The sequence below is a fragment of the Homo sapiens genome, chromosome 1 (assembly GCF_000001405.40).
Source record: "Homo sapiens chromosome 1, GRCh38.p14 Primary Assembly".
Classification (NCBI taxonomy): Eukaryota; Metazoa; Chordata; class Mammalia; order Primates; family Hominidae; genus Homo; species Homo sapiens.
In genome coordinates this window covers 76,640,408-76,660,387 of record NC_000001.11, presented here as the reverse complement: position 1 = coordinate 76,660,387, position 19,980 = coordinate 76,640,408, and positions in this window count along the sequence as shown.

Sequence of the window (19,980 nt, the reverse complement as noted above, 5' to 3'; positions counted from 1 at the left end):
TTGAAAAGAGCTCAGCCTTTGGGGTCAGCCTGGAATACAATTGTATTTAGTTGCTTATTAGCATTGTGTCCTTGAGCAACATAGTTAACCTCTTTGAACCTCATTTCTTCATTTGTAAATGGGTAATGATAGCACTTAACATGAGGATTAAAATAGAGGACCCAGAAATCTTTATACTTGAAATAATAGACACTTTTAAAGTTCTTGCTCTTTTTATTTGTTTTACTTACTAATAGCACCTTCTCCTCCCCTAAACTCATCACTTATCTTTCCCATCCCTTACTTTCACCAACTGTTCTTCTCTTGATCTTCCTTTCCACCATGTCAGGTTATTATCAAGAAATTTTTCCGCACTCTTTCTTAAAAACTATATTTTTTTGTTAAATACAATACCCATACAAAAAGTGCAGGGCACATCAATGTAAAGTTTAATAAATTATAAATTAAACACCTGTTTAACACCCCTAGGGACTTGTGCTTGAGAACCTCCTATACTCATCCATCATCTTTCCTTAAAGAGCTCCTGTCAATTTTTTACGTTAACCACAGGGTCACTTCCTCCTGTCCACAAAGATTTTCTTGTGGTTTTCTGAGGGGTAGTCATGGTATTTATTTGCATGCCAACAATTCCCATGGGGAAGGAGTGGGGAATATGAGCTAAGGGTGACATAGGGGAAGGATAAGGAAAACTGAGCAATCCGAGAGAGCCTTCCTTAGGGAAGATCACAAATCACGTGGTCCCAAGCCAAGTCTAATCCAATCTGGGGCCGTATTATTTTCTAAGGAGTTCCATCTGTGAAGAACTCAGAACCTGGTAGTGAAGATTTCTGGCTGTACTGGCTCTTAGTGTCTTGTGATATCTGAGTTGTGCTTCAGAGGGTTCTTCCAAAGAAAATAAAGATTGCTGACAGTAGTGCCATGGTAATGTCTTGAGAGGAATTTATAATTGGGCAGCATTTCAGGACAAGGACCTAATCCCAGGATGAGTGGGTGGGAATCAGATGCCTTGGCCTGAAGCCAGGCCAACAGATTGACCACAGAGGTTGGGGCTGATTGAAAAGTTCAGACCTGGAACCCATGTAGGTTCTCAGCTTACCAATTTCCCACACAGGATTCCAGCACAGATACCAATTTTAGATTAAAGGTCAAGGTCTTTTGAAAACCACAGAGAGGGTTGGATTGGTAAGTATAGCCATGGGCTGCCAGATGCTGCTCATTCTCTCTCTTCTTTCTATGTGCCCCTGCCACTGTTCTCCACTTAACTTTTGACTGTGAGGTGGAGCTGGCCTTCATATGGGACCAGCCTACTATTCTTCAACATTTTGGCAAAATTTATTCTTTCTATGAAGTTCATGTCATTTGACTATCCCTGACTACTTCTAATTTTTGTTACCTATTTGTTATAGGTAACTCACCATACACAGATCATTGAGGTTTCTACATTTTCTTCCATCTTAGCTGTCATCATCATCCTCTGTGACTATTATATTGAACAAGCAATTTAAAATTATGATCAGCACACACTTGTGTCTCCTACAATCCCTTTAAACTTTATTAAATGGAGGTGATTTTCCGTCTGTCTTAAGATGAAGACTTTGACAGGCACCAACTTTTCTGTTCATTTTCAGGTAATATAATGTGGTCACCTATGTCAAAAATAAGCTCCAATTCAGAAATTAAAATGTTTTGTCTCATGTAACACTCAATGATCTAAATATTATTTAGCAGTCACATCTCCTCTGTTTCCCCAGATCTTCTTCCTGGCTTCAGGTTAGATCCTTCTACTCTCTACTGTTCTTCTGCTAACCTCCTCTCCCATTTTCTTTGCCATTTGACTCCCAGTGGGGTCTTGGGGTTGGCTGTGTGAAGGGAGAAAGTGTAAGGGAATAAACCTGTTCTTATTTGACTATGTGGCTTCTGGGTCTGTTGGCTTCAGAGATGTGAACCAGCTGGCCCTCCTTCTTATGGAGCTCTTCAAACGTTCTCTAGAGAATCCCTGATATGGATTTTCACCCAAATCTCATCTTGAAATGAAGTTCCCATAATCCCCACATGTTGTGGGAGGGACCCAGTAGGAGGTAATTTCATTATGGGGTGTTTACCCTCATGCTGTTCTCACGAGAGTGAGTGAGCTCTCATGAGATCTGATGGTTTTATAAGGTTCTTTTTCCCCTTTTGCTGGGCACTTCTCCTTGCTGCTGCTATGTGAAGAAGGACCTGTTTGCTGTCCCTTCCACCATGATTTTAAGTTTCCTGAGGCCTCCCCAGCCATGCTGAACTGTGAGTCAATTAAACCTCTTTATAAATTATCCAGTCTCAGGTAGGTTTTTATAAGCAGCATGAGAGCAGATTAAGACAATCCCTTTCTCCTGCAGTTCGCCAGACTTGGCTGATGGATCTATATTCTGTGTGGGCCCCTTGCTCTGAGAAGCTGTGGGAGTGGAGCCATATCACTGTAGAGATTTGCTTTCATGGCCCTGCCACCAAAGAAGGCAGGGAGTCTTTCTTCATCCTCCAGATCTTTCCACTAGGAATCGGACTCTAGTCCACACCCTTTTGTCTTGGGTGTGTCAGTGTAAAGGCTGTTCTTGTATTGCTATAAAGAAATACCTGAGACTGAGTAACTTATAAGGAAAGAGGTGTAATTGGCTTACAGTTTTGCAGGCTGTACAGGAAGCATAGCACTGGCATCTGCTTCTGGGGAGGCCCCAAGGAACTTTTACTTATGAAAGAAGGTGAAGGGGAGCAGGCACATCATCACATGCCCAGAGCAGGAGCAACAGAGAGAGAGGGGCTTGGGGGAGGGGAGGTGCTGCACACTTTTAAACAACCAGATCTCCTGGGAACTCAGAGAGCTCACTTATCACCAAGGATATGGCCCAAGCAATTCATGAGGGATCTGTCCCCATGATCCAAACACCTCCCACTAGCCCCAAGCTCCAATGGGGACTACATTTCAACATGAGATTTGGGTGGGGACAAATATCCACACTATAGGGGTCAGGCACCAGTTCTCCATTTTTCTCCACATCAGGAAATCAATTTCGAAGCTTTCCTAAGATGTTTCTTACTGGGGTTAGAATTAGAAGGTAGAACTCAAACAGGGCAATAGCTTTCACCAAAGAAATTTCTTCACAGTTTTTCCTCCAAATTCTCTCTTCACCCTCTAAATGCTCTTTTATATTGTCTTTCTGGGGTGAGGGGGCTCAAGATCCCTGATAAATTATCATTTGGTGGAAATTTGTCCATTTCATCTTAAATGTTTAATATATAGGAATTAATCTGCTCATAATATTCTTTAAGTAACTTTTTACTATCTCTAAGATCTGCAGTGTTATCCCCTTTTAATCTTTGATGCTGGCAATTTGTATCTTCTGTTCCTTGATAAGACTCACGAATCAAAACAGCCTATTGATATTTGTTTTTTCAAAATAACCAACTTTTGGCTACATTGATTTTTCAATTGCTTTTTCTATGTTACTGAGCATAGTTTGTTAAAATCTCTCAGTAGGATTGTGAACTTGTTCACTTCTCATTTTATTCCTGTCAGTTTTCACTCTGTATATTTATTTTGAGGGTCTGTTATTAGGTGAATACACATTTAAAACTGTTATGTCTGTTTGATAGATTGGCCATTTTATCATGAAAAAGTAATTCTTTTTTTTTGCCTTCAAGTCTACTTTGATATTGGTCCAGATATATCAGCTGTCTCTTGACTGGTGTTTGCATGGTGTATCTGTTTTTTTTCTATGTTCAACTATTCTGTGTATTTATCTTTAAGGTGTATCTCTTATAAAAAGAATATTTTGTGTATGTCATTATTTGTCATGTAACCTATTTCATTTATTTCCTTGATATATTGATATATATATGAACCTGTCATCTTACTGTTTCAATTGTATTTGTCCCTTTTATTGTATGTTTCTTCATCTATACTTCGTTGGATTAAATATTACTTTTGGATTAAGTATTACTACCTATTATTACATTTTACCATTTTGGATAGCTTGTTAGGTGTTTAATCTTTTATTTATTTTTTTAGTGGTTACCTCATGATTACAATTAATGTTTGACTTTAAAATATAGTATAAATTTGTACTTTTACCATTTCCTGGATGGTATAAGGAATTTGGAAAACTTTAACTTGGTTTACCCTACTCATGCCTACTAGTTATTATGTCATATTTCTGTTGAACATATATTTAAAATTCTACCAATTTATCATTTCTATTGTTTTATGCCATTAATATTTACTTACATATATATCCTTTCAATTACTCTTTACTGCTTCTTACATTTCATTGTTTCCAGTTGTGTGTGACATGTTACCTTATGCCTTAAGATCTTATGTGACATTTATTTCAACCCAGGTTTACTGGTGAAAAATTAATTTCTGTGAAAATTTCTTTGTGTTGACTTCATATTTATAGAATATCATTGCTAGTTATAAAATTCAAGGTTGAGAACTTTGGAGATAGTGTTACATTATCTTCTGATTTAATCATTTCTGTTGAGAAGCCAGCTGTCTGTAAAATAGTTGTTTCTTTGAAATTAATGTATCTTTTTTCCTCTAGTTGCTTTTGAGATTTTCTCTTTGCACTTGTTTTTTTTTTCCAGTTGTAGTATGAAGTGCCTAAGTGTTGTTTTCTTTATATTTTTCCTTCTTAGAATTTAAAGTACTTCTTGAACCCATGGATTGATGTTTTCTTGTTTTAGAAAATTTCTTGGCCATATATAAATATTCTTACTGTCTACTTCATCTAAGACTTCAATAACAAGTATGTTAGTCTTTTTTTGTACTTCAGCCTAGATATTCACTACTGACCTACCTTTTAGTTCACCCTTTAGTCCTCTCTTTAGCTATGTCTAGCTGGCTATGAAACTCTTATATTGAGTTCTTTTTTTTCAATTTTTGAAGTTTTCAATTATAGAATTCCTATTTAATTTTTTAGTTATCTGCTGAATTTTTATCATACTGTATTTTTTTCTTGAGTATACTAGACACAGTAATTTTTGTTTTATATATGATAACTCCAATATTTATATTTCTCATAGCTTCATGTTCATTGTCTTATTGTCTGCTATTTACTTTGTTTCTTCTACTAGTTTGTGTAGTTGATTTTTATGTATTTATTTTTTAGATTTTGTGTTTTTTTTCATATATGAAAAAATACAGAAATAATTTGGTTCTGGCTGATATTATTTTCTTTCAGAGAGGGTTTAATTTTTCTTGGCAGGCAGTTAGGCTGGGGGCAGTTCAATTTCAGATTGAGATGATTAGAATGTTGATTCATGTGGGCTAGTTTATATCTTGTTAGCTTTCTTCTATTGAGCTTCAAGGGTCTTAACCAAAAGCTATGAATGTTTCCCAGAGCCTCTTTTCTTTGTTGGGCTTGAACTTGAACATTTTGCTCCCAATCCTTATGAGACTGCTAAAAACGTTGGTTAGCTTTCCAGGCTCTAGAGGCTGCCTACAAATCAGCAAGTGCTTTGAAGGGAAACGCAGAACTAAATGTCAGGCCCACCTCCTCGCACTTCCCTCTGAGAACTTTGGTGCCTAATATCCTTGTTTCTTGATGGCTCCCTGGTGTTTTCCAACAGATTTTTTTTTTTTGGTTCATATTTTATCCAGCCTTGTCAGCTGTTCTTGGCAGTAAAGGTTAGTCTTATAAAAGTTAATATGCCATCACTGGGATCAGAAACTCTTATTGTGCTTTTCAAATTGTAACTTTTGATGTATATATCCTATCTTTACTAATAGGTGGTAAATTCCTAGATGGTAGGTATATGTACTTTTATTTGCAACACCTGGCCTTACATACAATATATACATATATTTACTGACTGAATTAATAAATTTTTATTGGATGTCTTCCATTAAAAGAAATAAGGCTAAACTCAATTTTTTCAGAAGTTAAAATTTCTAACATAAAATGCTATTGAAGAACCATTGTGATAAATGAATATAGACTCAGAAAAGTGAACCAGCTAAACTACATCAAAGCTTTAAAATAATGTCAGGAGAGTCAGATACAGAAATTCTGAAAACCTTTAACTCCCCAGGATTAATTCATTCTACATGAAATAGGTGTTCTCCTGGTGACACTTTGATCCAACATCCTCGTGTTGTCAGAGTTCAGAAGCCTTAAGGCCTCAAAGTGCTCCTCTGATTTTTTATCCAAAACTATAATCAGGTTTTGATCTGTTTTAGAAAAGAGGCCTGATCTCTAGAGTACAGTGGTAGCCATGGAGCCAGAGGAATCATTGTGCATAGACCAAAAGCCCAGTGAGGGGTAAACAACTGATAAATGCACGGCTGCAAATGTTTGGCTACTTCCTTCTTCCTTTTCTTTTATTACTTGGCATAATGATATTTATTTCTTTTTTCTAGTCTTTTTAATAACAATTTTTTAATTGTTATTTAAGAAATATTTTTAGTGTTTATTACAGACTAACTACCAGGCAAATACTAGGGCTGAGTAGATGCAAAGAGGGATATAAAAAAGTATTCAATACAACCCTTGTTTCCAAAACAAACCCTTGTTTCCATCTCTCTCTCTCTGTCTCTCTCTCAGGAGTGTGTGTGTGTGTGTGTGTGTGTGTGTATGTGTTAGAGAGTGAGAGAGAGAGAGAGAGAGAGAGATAATATATATGATGAAGACTGTAGTAAACAGCTTAGACATAAGGAAACCAGAGCCAGCTTCCAAATTCCAGATTGAAGCCTTGCTGTGGAATATATATGATTATTGAATGAAGAAATGGATTTCAAGAAAATTGGTGGAGTGCAGTTTCTGATTGCTGCAGAAAGTGCTTAGGTCTGAGTTGCTTTCAATTGAAGTCACAAGAAGATGATAAGTTAGGCTTACAGGATTTGGCCAAACGTTATTTCCAAACAAAAACAACTCTAAATTTATGCCTATTCTTGTCAATGCAGAAAGAGATTTTAAGATTCCAACAGACAGGAAGATTTGGGAACTCACAGTTTCTAAAACAGCAGTTTTAATCTAAGGTGGTCAGTCCAGGAAAATATGGGTAGGGAACTCTTTCTGGGGATTATGAAACTGCAACCAGGTTCAGAAGAGAAAGCTCCACACTTCAGCCCATAGTTAACCAGTCAGTCCTAGAAATCTCATCCAGGAGAGAGTCTTACTGCCTTAGATTGAATGGTTTTACAACAGTTGAATGGATTATTTGATGTGGTTGGTCCGTGGATATAATGCATGACTTATTCAGGATGGGCTCAATTAAATCTTTTATTTTACCAGGGAAGAAGAATGATGGTGGTAAGCACTTCTTTCTTATTTATTTATTTATTTATTTATTTATTTATTTATTTATTTATTTATTTATTTTGAGACAGAGTCTTGCTTTGTCATCCAGGCTGGAGTGCAGTGGCACAATCTCGGCTCACTGCAACCTCCACCTCCTGGGTTCAAGCAATTCTCCCGCCTCAGCCTCCCGAGTAACTGGGATTACAGGCACCTGCCATCATAGCTAATTTTTGTATTTTTGTAGAGACGGGGTTTCACCATGTTGGTCAGGCTGGTCTTGAACTCCTGACCTCAGGTGATCCACCCACCTTGGCCTCCCAAAGTGTTGGGATTGCAGGTGTGTGCTAACACACCCGGCCAGCACTTCTCTTTCAACTCACTGATGAAATCATTCCAAGAATATTTTTACTGTCCAAACTGAGGAATATAATGTTTTGATAATGAAGAGAAAGCACTTCATTAAATTAATCCTTCTTTGTCTTGTATTAATTGAGTACACACAATGTGTCTACTGCTTTTATGAGCTTATTGGGGACTCATAAATGAAAGATTCTATTATTTACAATAGTTTTGACTGCTAGGAATTGAAAACCCTAAAAGAATAAGCCAGCATATTGCCTATTTCCAGGTAATTTCCACCGTCTATGTCGCCGTGGTCCAAGTTGGCATTCACGTTCCTAGGACAAAGTAAAAGGGCAAAGGAGGGGTGTCAGCTGTCCAGTTTTTACTTTTTGTTATGGTTGTTTTAGTTACATACAATAAAGTTCACTTATGTGTTTAGTTTTGCGTTTTAATACATATGTAGATTTTGCAACCACCACCATAAATAGGATTCAGAACAATCCCATAATCCACCAAATTCCTTCATGCCGCTCCTTCGGAGTCACTCCCTAACCCACCCAACTCCTAGCTAAAATTGACCTATTCTCCATCCCCATAATTTTGCCTTTTCAATAATATTATATAAATGGAATTATATAGTACTGGATTCTTTCCTGTAGCATAATGCATTTGAGATTTATCCATGCTGTTGTGTGAATGATAGTTCATTTCTTTTTACTGAAGAGTAATATTTCATTGTGTGGCTGTTCACAACTAATTCACCCACCTATTGAAGGATATTTCTTTTTTCTTTCCAGTTTGGGTTGATTACAAATAATGTTGATATGAATATTCATGTACAGGTTTTTGTTATGAACATAAATTATTTTCTTAAGGGCATAGGAGTAAGATTGCCAGGCCATAGGGTAAGTATCCATCTAATATTATAAGAAATGGCCAAATTGTTTCCCATGTGGCTGTACCATTTTGTATTCTTTTCTACAATGTATAATAATATATGTGATGGTTAACATTGAGTGTCAACTTGATTGGATTGAAGGCTGCAAAGTGTTGTTCCTGGTGTGTCTGAGCATGTTGCCAAAGGAGATTAACATTTGAGTCAGTGGAAAGGCAGACACACCCTCAATCTAATCAGGTGCCAGCATAAAAACAGGTATGAAAAGAGCAGACTGGTTGATCTTCTGGCCTCCATCTTTCTCCCATGCTTGTTGCTTTCTGCCCTCAAACATCATACTCCAAGTTCTTCAGCTTTTGGGCTCTGGACTGACACCAGTGATTTGGCAGGGGCTCTCAGGCCTCCAGCAACAGACTGAAGGCTGCACTATCAGCTTCCCTACTTTTGAGGTTTTGGAACTTGGACTGACTTCCTGGCTCCTCAGCTTGCAGATGGTCTGTTTTGGGGCTCCTCCTTGTGATTGTCTAAGTAAATTCTCCTAATAAATTCCCCTTCATAAGTTCATCTATCCTATTAGTTCTCTCCCTTTAGATAACTGTGACTAATACAATGTAAAATTGTTACAGCACATTTGTTGAAAATACTATCCATTCTTTATTAAATTGTCTTCGTACCTCTGACAAAACTCAATTCAACTGATGTGTATGGGTTTATTTCTAGAGTCCCAATTCTGTTCTATTGATCTATTATATCTATCCTTTCATCAATACCATACTATTTTGTTTACTATAGCTTTATAGTAAGTTTTAAATTGGGTAATGTAATTCTTCTCTGTTCTTTTTCAAAATGATTTTTGTCTAGTGTAGTTCCTTTGCCTTTCCATAAGGTTTAAGAATCAGCTTGTCTATATGTACAATAAAATCCTGCTGGAAATATTATTTATATTTCTTAAATATATAAATGTCCTTAAAAGGATAGTTTGGAAAAAGTAGTAGCCAGTGTCTTGCTTGCAAGACATAAAATAATGTGATATACTCATGAAGAATTGTCTCCCAAAAATTTATCCCTAAGTATTTCTTTTTTGTTTTTGAAGCTGTTGTAAATGATCTTTCTTTTCTTTAGTTTTTAATTGTTCATTGTCCATATATATGTATATGTATATATATACACACACACACACAAATGGCTTTTGTGTGCCAATTTTCTTCCCTGCAACATTCCTAATGTTCATAATTACTTCTAGAATTTCTTTTTTTGTAGATTTATTGGGATTTTCTACATAAACAATCTAGTAATCTAGGAGTAGAGAGAGTTGTATTCCTTTGTTCCCATATTATGCCTTTTATTTCTTTTTCTTGTCTTATTGCATTGGCTAGAACTTCTGACAAAGTGATAAGTAGTATTGATGAAAGAAGTCATCCTTTCCTTGTTACAAAATGTAGAAGAAAAGCATCCGGCCTTTCCCCGTTCAATGTAACATTAGGTTGTCAGTTTTTAGGGATGCCATTTTTCATACAGATTTGAATAATCCCTTTCTCTACTTTCTTCATCTCTGTGATTTCTGTCATACACTCTGGCTCTCAGAGGTACCTTTTTCTGGTATTCTGTCCAGACATTCAGGCGGTTGGCCTCCCTGAGTTGCATTGCACTTCCCTCAATTGGGTCTACCTGGAAGTGGAGGATTCAGAGAAAAGAACCTTCAGTGCCACTGCCGCCACTGCCACCACAAGTGTAGAGATGCAGCTTCATTACTGTAGCTCCATCCTGCAGGGGCCTGCTCCTCTAATTGGAGAAAGAAAGAATTTTTATTAGAGATTTATCTGACCATGAATGTTGTACTATTCTGGGATTTTGGCCACACTAGAGTGTAATCCAGGAGAGATGAGAAACACACACACACACATAAAGCAAAAATTAGGAATTTATTGCTAGATGGGATGTTCTTCAAGTTTTTGTTTCCATCCCCAGTCTAACTGTCATTATTTATTTTTCAGTTATCAAATAGTTCCTTTAATTTTTTTTCTAGGAATTTTTGCTGTAATCAGTAGGAGATAGGATGGATTGTGCCAACTTCTTAAATGGAACCTCTATCACTTTTTTTTTTTTTTGAGACAGAGTCTTTCTCTGTTGCCCAGGCTGGAGTGCAGTGGTGTGATCTCGGCTCACTGAAACTTCACCTCCTTGGTTCAAGCAATTCTCCTGCCTCAGCCTCCCAAGTAGCTGGGATTACAGGCACTTGCCACCATGCCGGCTATTTTTTTTTTGTATTTTTAGTAGAGATGGGGTTTCACCATGTTGGCCAGACTGGTCTTGAACTCCTGACCTCAGGCAATCCACCTGCTTCAGCCTCCCAAAGTGCTGGGATTACAGGTGTGAGCCACTGCACCCAGCCTGCCAGCTATCCCTTAGCGAGGTTCCAGCTTCATGCTTACACAACACTCATGCTTACACTTCCTTGACCAGATCTTAATAATAGGACCATACCCACTTGCCAGGTGCATAACCATATGTTCAGCCAAAAAGTAGAGGCTCTGGCCATATGGAAGAATGGAAAAAATAGATATTAGGGAATGGCTAGCACCACTATCCTTACCTTCAAAAATTGCAAGGTCTAATATAGAAGATAGACATGTAAATAATCTGTTATATTGTTATATTGTAAGTGCTATGTGAGAGATTTGTTCTTATGAGCATAGTTTCTACAATGGGGTCTCTGGAACCTAGGATGCTTTAAGGGAAGTCATGCAGGTCCTAAAAGTATTGTAATATTTTGAGAAACTTAACAAATGTCATATGCTTTACCTTTGATTGGATTCTAAAAGTAAATAAAGCATTGTACTTCTTTCCTTTTGGCTGGAATTCTGTTAATTCCATTAGTAATTCTAATTTTCTCATTCTGATTAGAAGTTTAGAATAGATGTAAAATTGCTCAGTTATAAGAAGTGGAAAACAAATTACTTGTTTCTTAATAAGTGCAATATAGTAGACAACATCTTTCAAAATATGGAGTGTCATATTATTGGTAGACTCTCTTAGTCTAGATTCTTTTGGCAGTAAACAGCCAAATAATAAAAATCCAATTTAGTTCTTAGACAGTTTGAAACAAAAAAGAAAAGGGACATTTATTGGCTCATATAATTGGGAATAACATTCTTAAATAAACATCAGTCACAATTTTTTTGTTGGGGGAGTTTCAAAAGATCACCAGCTAGCTTTTGTCTTTTTACTTCTTTGCAGCATAGGCATTTTTCCCATTTACGGTAAGATAGCTGTTGGTCAGATAGACTGTTAACATATATTCCTAGTAATATCACTGGGAAGAGCCAGTTCTTCCTCCAAGAATCTATACATCCATCACAGGGAAGAAATCTGATTGTCCACGCTTGGAATAGAAGCCTATTCCAACCGATCCCCATGGTCAATATGATATGGTAAGTTTAACCCATCCTGGATTATAGAACCACTTTTATGACCATATTTTGTTACTAGATGAAGAGAGAAAGAAAAGAATGTCACTTTGGGAGGTCAGGGCTGGGGGAAATCGCCTGAGGTCAGGAGTTCGAGACCAGCCTGGCCATCATGGTGAAACTACGTCTCTACTAAAAATACAAAATTAGCTGGGCGTGGTGGCAGGTGCCTGTAATCCCAGCTACTCAGGAGTCTGAGGCAGGAAAATCGCTTGATCCCAGGAGACAGAGGTTGCAGTGAGCCGAGATCATGTCATTGCACTCCAACCTGGGCGACAAGAGTGAGACTTGGTCTCAAAAAAAAAAAGAAGAAAAGAAAAGAATGTATGTTGGATGGAGAAAGTAAACTAACAGCTACCCAACATTAATACGTGCAATGAGAAATAATTCACTTAAGGTTATTTTCCTATCTTTTCTTTTGGTCAGGTCTCTTATTTTTTATTCAGTTTCATACCTATACTTTCCATCAAGTTTTTCATTTGATAGAGGTCACGAGAGAAGTTTCTGAAATTGTTACTTATAATGTATTCTAAAGTTAACTTTCTTCTTTCTGTCAAGACTTCTAAATTGTCACTTTGTATCCATAAGTCAGGAATACTTTCTATCATTAAAGCCAGAAAGGAAATCTCAACTTTATTTTAGCTATAGGTGGTGGAGATCTGAAGCTATTTTATTTTTTTTTCTCTATCCCTTAGCCACATTCCAGCTGTGATATAGATAACCTGGCACCGGACTTGAGTACTAATTTGAAATATGATTTCCTATGTTGAAAAAAAGTCCCAAACTATTTTTTGCTTAAACTTTCAACTGTCATTTAGTAAATTGCTAAATGCATAAATGAATGTTTGGTGCCTAATAAATATTATTGATTCAGAATATCAAATATCAAAAAGATATTTTGTCTTTTTTGAGATCTTATAATTTCCTCTCTATACACATTGGTGTACATGCTTCAACCTAAGTTTAAAATGTCATTTCAGCTTTTTCTTCTTTTTTTTCCAGCCTGTGACTTATGCATTTCTGGAAACAGTATTACTGACATCATATCAATTTTTAAAACTTGAAGCATTTCTCATTACTTCTGTCTTTCCATCATCTCAGCACCTATCCAGTGCCAATGTGTCTGGGATTCTCAATTCACAATGTGTTTGTTCCTGTTTGGGAAGCCAAATTACAAACAACTCATGTTTAGCAACAGATTTTAATTCTTTAACTGTCAATAAAGATTGAATTAATACACTTTTATTCATACTTCGTCATTCTTCTTTACTTCCTTTCACCACCGTGACCTCCACTGTAAAAGTGTAATCAATTTGAATATCCCCTATCCAAAATGTTTGGGATCAAAAATGTTTAAAAGTTTAGATTTTTGAACATTTGCATTTTACTTACTGGTGGAGCACTCCTAATGTGAATATCTGAAATCAAAATGCTCCAATGAGCATGTTCTTTAAGCATCATGTCAACTTTCAAAAAGTTTCTGATTTTGGAGCATTTCAGATTTCAGATTTTCATATTAGGGATACTTAACCTGTATTATTTTTACAGGTTATTTGCGTGCTTTTAAACAGGTAACTTTTCAAAGTCCCCTTTTCCCCCTAATGATTTCGGTTTTCCTTGCAAAGTCAACTACCTAAGGTTATTTCTAACTGGGTTCATTCTGTTCGGACTATATACTTGATTTATTACAACTTTGTATATTTTAGTTATTTTGGTACTTGATCAATCTTGACATAAGGTAAATATGGATTTGCTAATAAACATCAAGATGGAAAGTGAAGTCATCAGTATTCTATCTCCTTTTTACTGAGTATATAGAATTCACATATGTTTTCCCAGATTTAACTGTCTTATTGAGAAGGTTTTTTTACGTCTTCTAGGTAGATCAAGATGGAAAGTGAAGTCATCAGTATTCTATCTCCTTTTTACTGAGTATATAGAATTCACATATGTTTTCTCAGATTTAAGTGTCTTATTGAGAAGGTTTTTTTACATCTTCTAGGTAGAGATGGTGCTACAGCTTGAATGTGTCCCCTAAATTCATGGCTTGGAAGTTTGATTTACAATGTAACATTATTGGAAGGTGGAGACTAACAAGAGGTGATGGTGTCAGGAGGGTGGAGTCCTCATGAGTGGATTAACATTGTTACTGAAGTAGTGGGCTAGTTATAAAACGAGTGGGTTGTTATAAAAAGAGATCTGCCCGTGCTTTCTCTTTTGCATGCTCACTTCCACCTTCAGCCCTTCCACCATGGATGACCCTTGCTAGATGCTCTTGGACTTCCCAGCCTCCAAAACCATGAGCCAAATAAATGTCTGTTCTTTATAAACTATCCTGTCTCAGTTATTCTGTTATAGAACAGAAAACAGACTAAAACAAAACATTTGGTATCTAGAAGTGGGTTGTTACTCTAACAAATACCTGAGAATGTTAAGTGGCTTTGGAACTGGATAATGGGTAGAGGCTGAAAGAATTTGGAGGAACAAGCTAGAAAAACACCCATACTGCAGTGAATAAAGTGTTAAAGGCAATTCTGGTGAGGGCTCAGAAGACAATAGAACTAGAGAGAGCCTGAATCTACTTATAGATGATTTAAGTGGTTATGACCAGAATGTTGGTAGACTATTATGGACAGTAAAGGTCTTTCTGATGAAGTCTCAGACAGAAATGAGGAACAAGGTGTTGGAAACTAGATAAAAGGCCATCTTGTTATAAAGTAGCAAGGAACTTGGCTGAATTGTGTCTGTGTCCTAGGACTTTATGAAATACAGAACTTAAGAGCTGGAATATGATGAGCTAGACTATCTAGTGGAAAAGATACCTGATCAGTCAAGCACTCTGGCTGCTGCATTGTTACTTTTGACCACATACAGTGACATGCAAGAGAAAAAAATAAAGGTAAAATTTTTAATTAAAAAAGAAGCAGAATAGAAAAGTTTGGAAAACTTTTGTATGACCAAGTGACCTTTTGTTAAAGAGATTAATATGGATAGAAGGAAGTCAGGTGCTACTTGTAAAGACAAGGGGAGAAAGATCCTGAAGGCATTTCTAAGATCTTCCAGGCTGCCCTCCTATTATAGGCTCAGATCTCTAAAAGGGCAGAGTGCTTTTGGGAAATGGGTCCAGGAAGACCTTCAAGAGCTTGCTGGCCAGAGATACCTCAAGACTTTGCTCCCCACATTCTGATGAAGCATTCTTTGGCTGTTCTAGCTGCATCTCAAGCAGGCTTAGGTGTGGCTCAACCTGCTGCTCAAGAAGATACAAGCTGTAAACCTTGGCAGTGTTCATAGGATACTAATTCTGTAGGCACAGCTTCTTCCATCTGGATTGCAAATAATGTTGCAGATAACCTGGGGACCTAGGCAGAGACATGCTACAGGGGCAAAGCAGACACAAGGAGTCCCCAACTAGGGCAATGCCCAGAGGTTCTGTAGGGAGAGCACCACTGCCAAAACCACAGAACTGTAGGGCCACCACCATGCAACTCTAACTGATGAGAGCTACTGAGTGGACTGAGCCCAGTGAAGCCTTAGGGCGAGGCTGTCTGAGGTTTTGGGTGCCCAATCCCCAACTCCCCAGTGTGTCCAGGATGTGAGACATGGAATCGAAAGAGATTATTCTTCAGCTTTAAGATTTAACGTAGTTTTCCCTGTTGTGTTTCAGACTTACTTGGGAACCAAGTATCCCTCTTTTCCGGCCCATTTCTCCCTTTTGGAATGGAAATGTGTGTCCTGTGTCTGTCTCACTATTGTATTTTGGAAGTAGATAACTTGTTTTGATTCTATACGCTCACAGCTGGAGATCCCTTGCTTCAAGGTGAATCATGCTTTTAGTTTCACCCATATCTGATTTGAACGAGTCTTTAGACTTTTGAGTTGAAACTGAATGAGTTAAGATTTGAGGGCTATTGGAGAATGAATGTATTTTGCATTATGCAAAGGACATAAATTTTGGGTGCCGGGAAGTATTCTATTTTTATGTGTCTCACAAATTCACGTGTTGGAAACTTAATCCCCAATGCAACAATGCTGGGAGGTGAGGCCTAATAGGTGGTAACTGGGTCATGAGAGCAGAGCCTTCATGAAGATTAATGTCATCTCTAAGGGAGTAGGTTAGTCACAGAGAGAAAGGGTTGTTTTAAAAGGGAGCCAGCTCCTCGTGCTTTCTCTCTAGCATGCCCACTTCCTGCTTCTGCCTTCTGCCATGGGATGACTCTGACCAGAGGCCTAGGTCACGCTCTTGGATTTCCCAGCCTCCAAAACTATGAGCGAAATAAATTTCTATTCTTTATAAACTACCCAATCTTGTGTATTCTGTTATAGCAAGAGAAAACAGACTAAGAGGGGGGGAGGAATTGCATTAGGAGAGATACCTAATGCTAAATGACGAGTTAATGGGTGCAGCACACTAACATGGCACATGTATACATATGTAACAGACCTGCACATTGTGCACATGTACCCTAAAACTTAAAGTATACTAATAATAAAAAAAAAGAAAACAGACTAAGAGAGGGAGGTAGCTTATAAGATATCCCCCCTCTCCAACTATCTTGACTTCTGGCCTTGTGTAATTCTCTCTCCTTGAAGAACTTGGCTCTGACTCATAAAATAAATCAATATTGAAGGGATGTCATGTCCATGATTAGATTACGAGAGGTTGTAATTTTTATCTTGCTAGAGTATCCTCTCCTTTGGTGACTTTGATAAAGCCAGATGCCATATTGTGAGCCGTCCCAACAGAGAGGCCCACATAGCAAAGAACTAATCACAGCCTCCAGCTAACAGCCACCAAGGAACTGAATATGGCTGAAAGCACATGTGCTCGAAAGTGATTCCTTCCATGGTGGAGCTTTCAGATGAAATGTCAGTCCGGGTTGACACTTTGCAACTTTGTGAGAGACCCCAAAGAAGAGAACCCATATAAACCATGTCTGTATTCCATGACTTGTAGAAACTGTGGTATAATTTTAAGCTGCTAAATTTGTGATAGTTTATTACACAGCAATAGATAACTAATAAAGATGGCTACTTTTTCTTTTGTGGTTTTATGGCATTTCTGTACATATTTCTATCATACCACTTCTCATATCCTATTCTCCATTATGTAGATGACTCCCAAGTTTAAATGTTTAAGATAAACCTATCTTTTGAGCTTTATAAGTAAATCAATGTCCTATAAGTGTCTCAAGTTGACCATGTCTAAAAATTAACTCATCTCCAACTGTTTCTTCTACTATGTTTTCTCTATCAGATAGTAGTAGCAATGTCTGCCCAGCAATTCAAGCCAAAAACATATGAATTGTCCTTAGTTTCTTTCCCTTTTCTACGATCCTTCGAAGCAGCCTATCAAATATAATACTCCTTTGTTTAAAACCTTTCCATACTTCTGCTGCACTGCTCTTATAATAAAGTTAAAACTCCATATTACAGCCTGTAAGACTTGGGTGATCTGATCTCGATTTTAAATTGCTTATTTATCTCTAACCACCCCACCTTCCACCTCTCACCTCGGTGGTTTTCCTCTGTGTTAGCCCATTTTTGCATTGCCATAAAATTACCTGAGACTGGGTAATTTATGAAGAAAAGAGGTTTAATTGGCTCACAGTTCTGCAGGCTGTACAGGAAGCATGGTGACAGCATCTGCTCAGCTTCAGTGGAGGCCTCAGGGAGCTTTTACTCCTGGTGGAAGGTGAAGCAGGAGCACACATGTCACATGGCCAGAGCAAGAGCAAGAGAGAGAGATGGCGGGAGAGGGGAAGGTGCCACACAATTAAACAGCCGGATCTCATGAGGACTCAGTCTCTATTGTGAGGGCAGCACCAGGCCATGAGGGATCTTCCCCCAGGTCCCAAACTTCTCCCACCAGTCCCCACCTCTAACACCAACATATTTCATCATGAGATCTGGAGGGGCCATCCAAACTATATCATCCTCCAACCAGTCATACTAAACTTCTTTCAAATTCTGGAACTTGTCATGCCTTCTTTCTTTATTATAACTCCCTGTATTATTCCATTCATAGTCCATGCTTGGCCTTTTTCACATCCCTTTTGCTCTATTCATTTCCACTCATTATGCTGATCTCAGTTTAAATTAACTTTGCCAAGGAAGCCTATTTTAGCAATCTCGAGTTGTGTGCCTACCCAACGATGTTGGGTTGCCTGACTACTCAACCTCTTGTCTACGTTAAGACTTTCTCCATCAGACAGTATCCCCCAAACACTTGTATTTCTCCCATCCCAGCACTTATTCCATTGTTTAGAAATGCCTATTTAATTGTATCTCTCATTACACTGTAAATTCCACAAAAGCAGGAACTATGTTGGAATTTTTTGGCAGTGAATCCCTTATACCTAGAAGAATGTTCAGTTCTAATTTGTACTTCCTGTTCACTCTGGTGTTGAGTATCTTTTCATGTGCTTATTAGCTGTTTGTGCATCTTGTCTTGTGAAGTGCCTGTTCAAATTTTTTGTGCACTTTTAATTGAGGTGTTTGTCTTCTAATTGTTGAGTTTTAATATCTATCTATCCGTTTATCTATCTATTATCTATCTATCTATGTATCATCTATCTATCTGATATGAACCCTTCATCTCCTATGTGTATTGCAAACTTTTTCCAGTCTGTGGCTGGGCCTTATCATTTTCTTAATAGTCTCTTTCAAAAAGGATTTTAAAAATTTGATAAACTCTCATTTGTTAATATTTTTCTTTCATGATTTTTGCTTTTTGTGTTCTAGGAAATCTTTGCCTAACCCAAATCATGAAGATTTTATCCTTTGTTTTCTTATAGGTTCATCTTTTCTGTTTAGGTAAATTATCCATTTCATATTAATTTTTCATTTTTCTTTTCATACAGATTCCAGTTTTTTCAGCAACACATGTCAAAAGACTATTTTTTTCTCATTGAATTATTTTGTTATTGCTATAAAAAATCAGTTAAAGTAAAAATCAATCAAATATGGATCTATTTCTGGACTGTAGGTTACAGAAGTGACAGGAGCTCATGAGATCACCTAGGTGAGAAATTCAGCTAATATATAAAGAAGTTGACTCATTAGGAAAGAATAGTAGACTTCAGCAGAAATTGAAAAGAGACATGGAAGGGTACTGCTTTATGATCTTGCAACTAGCCATCTTTTCTTTCCTTTACTCTTCTTGCCTACCTAGAGTAAATCACCTACTATGTAAGACAATAATTTTTTTTTCTGGGACTTAATAGATAACTTCCAGGAAGACATGACTAGATTATTTGGAACATGCAATCTATGTAATAAAATAAAAGAGTGTGGTTCCTATGTTACATTTTCTCTGGACAACAGGTAAAAGTTGAGACAGGTGCATATTATGATTTTTGCTTTCACAGTCTGTTTCTTGGCCCTGCTGAAGTCTCCAATTAGATGCATATAGCTATCATTACATTAGAAAATTTTCATTCAAGCACTCTAGATAAGTATACATGAAACTGTCATAAGAAAAAGCATAATCAGCATAATTCACATTCATGGTAACTCCTAAAGCTGAGAGTGAATGCATATCAAGAATAATAATACAAGACTAATTGATTTACATGGATAAAAGGGATAAAATGGATCCATATTTACACCTACATTGGTTTCACATCATATGCTATTTGAATTCACAGCTCACTTTAAAATGTCTTTGAAAGGTGCTATTTGTTCAATGAATACATTTAAAAATAGTACTAGAGCCTTGTCTGAACCCTGTAGCCCCCTAGCAGATTCCAGACAAGATAGGAGAATTCTCAGCATTTTACTATGCTATGAAAGTTCTCATTTCATTTGTCAAAAATAAGCCCTATATTTTCAAACAAATATTGCTCTTCTACAAGACACTGCTGTCATGGGATCCTTATGTTGTGTTAGATAAAAGCGTCTTTATGTCTTGGCACTGTCTTCTGTATTAACCATTTCTATAAGGCATTGCTAATAGCAGTTCAAAATGAACTTCCTGAAATCCAGCATGTACTGTGCCATCCTGAGA